Here is a 1,760-nt window from a genome sequence, read left to right as displayed (position 1 = left end):
AAGAGTTTTGTAGTACTATAGACTATTTTAAGCTGATTACAACTTAACTTTGGTTACATAAAAATACTACCCTAGACTTTTCCCCTATAGCCCACAATTTATATTTTTATTACTTAATTTACATCTTTATCAATTATCTGTTCCTTAGCCACTAACTGTAGCTGTTGTTGTTTTGACTATTTTTGAAACATTTAACCTTCATACTAGAGGACTGAGAGATTTACATAGTAGCACTGTTACGGCACTGGATATTCCTCATTTTATTATGTTTTCGTGCTCTACGGGAACTTCACCACTCCCCAGTGCTCTTCAGCATACTTCCTCAGTTACTGCAGTCAAATTATAGTTGTTTAGTTTTTGTTCTGATTCCTTTTGTTTGGGGGACAAGTGTCATTCAACTCTAGTTGGCTGTCTTGCCAATGTCACTCCTAAGAATCCAGGAAACATTTTTAGAATGAAAGTCCTCTGTATATCCCTACTGTTCTTCTCATCTACTCATCATTTTTACCAACCTGGTTTTAAAACATTTTGTTAACTCCACCACTAAAATGATCTCTTAAAATTATTTTATATGCTTACTTCCCAGTGGATTTTCACCCTCAGTATGTTACTTCTAACGACAAAATATCTCCTTTAAAAATATTCCTCTCAAAAAAAGATTCTTCTCTATTGTCAGTCCTTTCATTTCAAACATATGTATCTGGGCAGAAACACGGAAGAGAATAGGTGGTGTTGAGCTATGGGTGGGTGCATTTGAGAGATGGCTTGTTGTTATTTTTATAGGTCTACTGACAAGTGTCTTTACTCCAGAAGATATTTCAGGAGGTACAGGGGCATCGACCTTATTTCCTGGACACAGATAAAGACATGAAGTTAGAAACTCGGCAGTGACTTCGAGTGAGCTGTGCCAGAGTGACTTTTCCAGATGTCTTTGGGCTTTACAGGTTGGAACTGTCTTTAGGGAATGGCTTGGATTTGATTTAACATTTTCTAAATTGGTTCACCCACCTTTGAGTTTGGAGGATGTATTGCTTCGTGCTTCCCCAGATTAACGTACTGCCAGCAGCTCTGACACTCCCATCTCAGGAAATTCATTAACACGTTGGGAAATCCGGAGACCAGGTGTGGCACTGAAAGGTTAATCTATCCTCATTTCTTCTTCATAGCAACTTCGGAGTGAATTATACTCTAGTCATTTAAAGTGAACAAATGAAGGCAATATACCTTACCTGTGCTTAACATGCTTGGTGTGATTCATACAGTGCTCGATTTTAGTCAAGGTGTGTGGACATTGTGTGTGTTTATGTGTCTTGCACACATCCCATAACCCCTAAACACCTTTAATATGGTTGTATTATGGTTACTTTAACTATTTTGTGTGTGCTCTTTTTGCTCCAATTTATGAGTAAAAAGAAATCTGCAGGCACACTAAGGAAATACAGACTTTCCAGGACATTCCAATGTGCACAGAGAAAAGGAAGCCCGCAGGATTTGAGAAGGAGCAATGGGCTTAGTCAAGACACCTTTGCTTTGTTTGGGGTGAGTTCAGTGTGGCGCCTTCATTTGGTCTGCAGCTTCTGGCTACCATGCTTCTGAATCCCCTTAAGACTGTCATCCCTCCCTTCTTGCTTTATTTTAACACATTTTCTATCTGTAGCTGCCTTCTTCCACAATGGTGAATGTGTTGACTATAGGTGTTCTATTGTTTGTTTCTTCCCCCACTGTAGTAAACCCTGTTTTGCTATAACATGAAGCCCCTG

General features: G+C 38.9%; 1 annotated feature.

Moving 5' to 3' along the window:
* Positions 351–1,550: an enhancer, noted in NCBI's record as "CDK7 strongly-dependent group 2 enhancer chr9:85478762-85479961 (GRCh37/hg19 assembly coordinates)". NCBI's record gives its function as "activates an origin of replication core promoter dependent on BRD2, BRD4, P300/CBP, MED14 and CDK7 cofactors, with strong dependence on CDK7, by STARR-seq in HCT116 cells {active_cell/tissue: HCT116}" and the evidence as "EXISTENCE:reporter gene assay evidence [ECO:0000049][PMID:35650434]".

Source organism: Homo sapiens, chromosome 9 (assembly GCF_000001405.40).
Source record: "Homo sapiens chromosome 9, GRCh38.p14 Primary Assembly".
In the NCBI taxonomy this organism is placed as follows: Eukaryota; Metazoa; Chordata; class Mammalia; order Primates; family Hominidae; genus Homo; species Homo sapiens.
The sequence above is the reverse complement of the archived record's forward strand: the minus strand, read 5'-3'. Positions and strand labels throughout refer to the sequence as shown.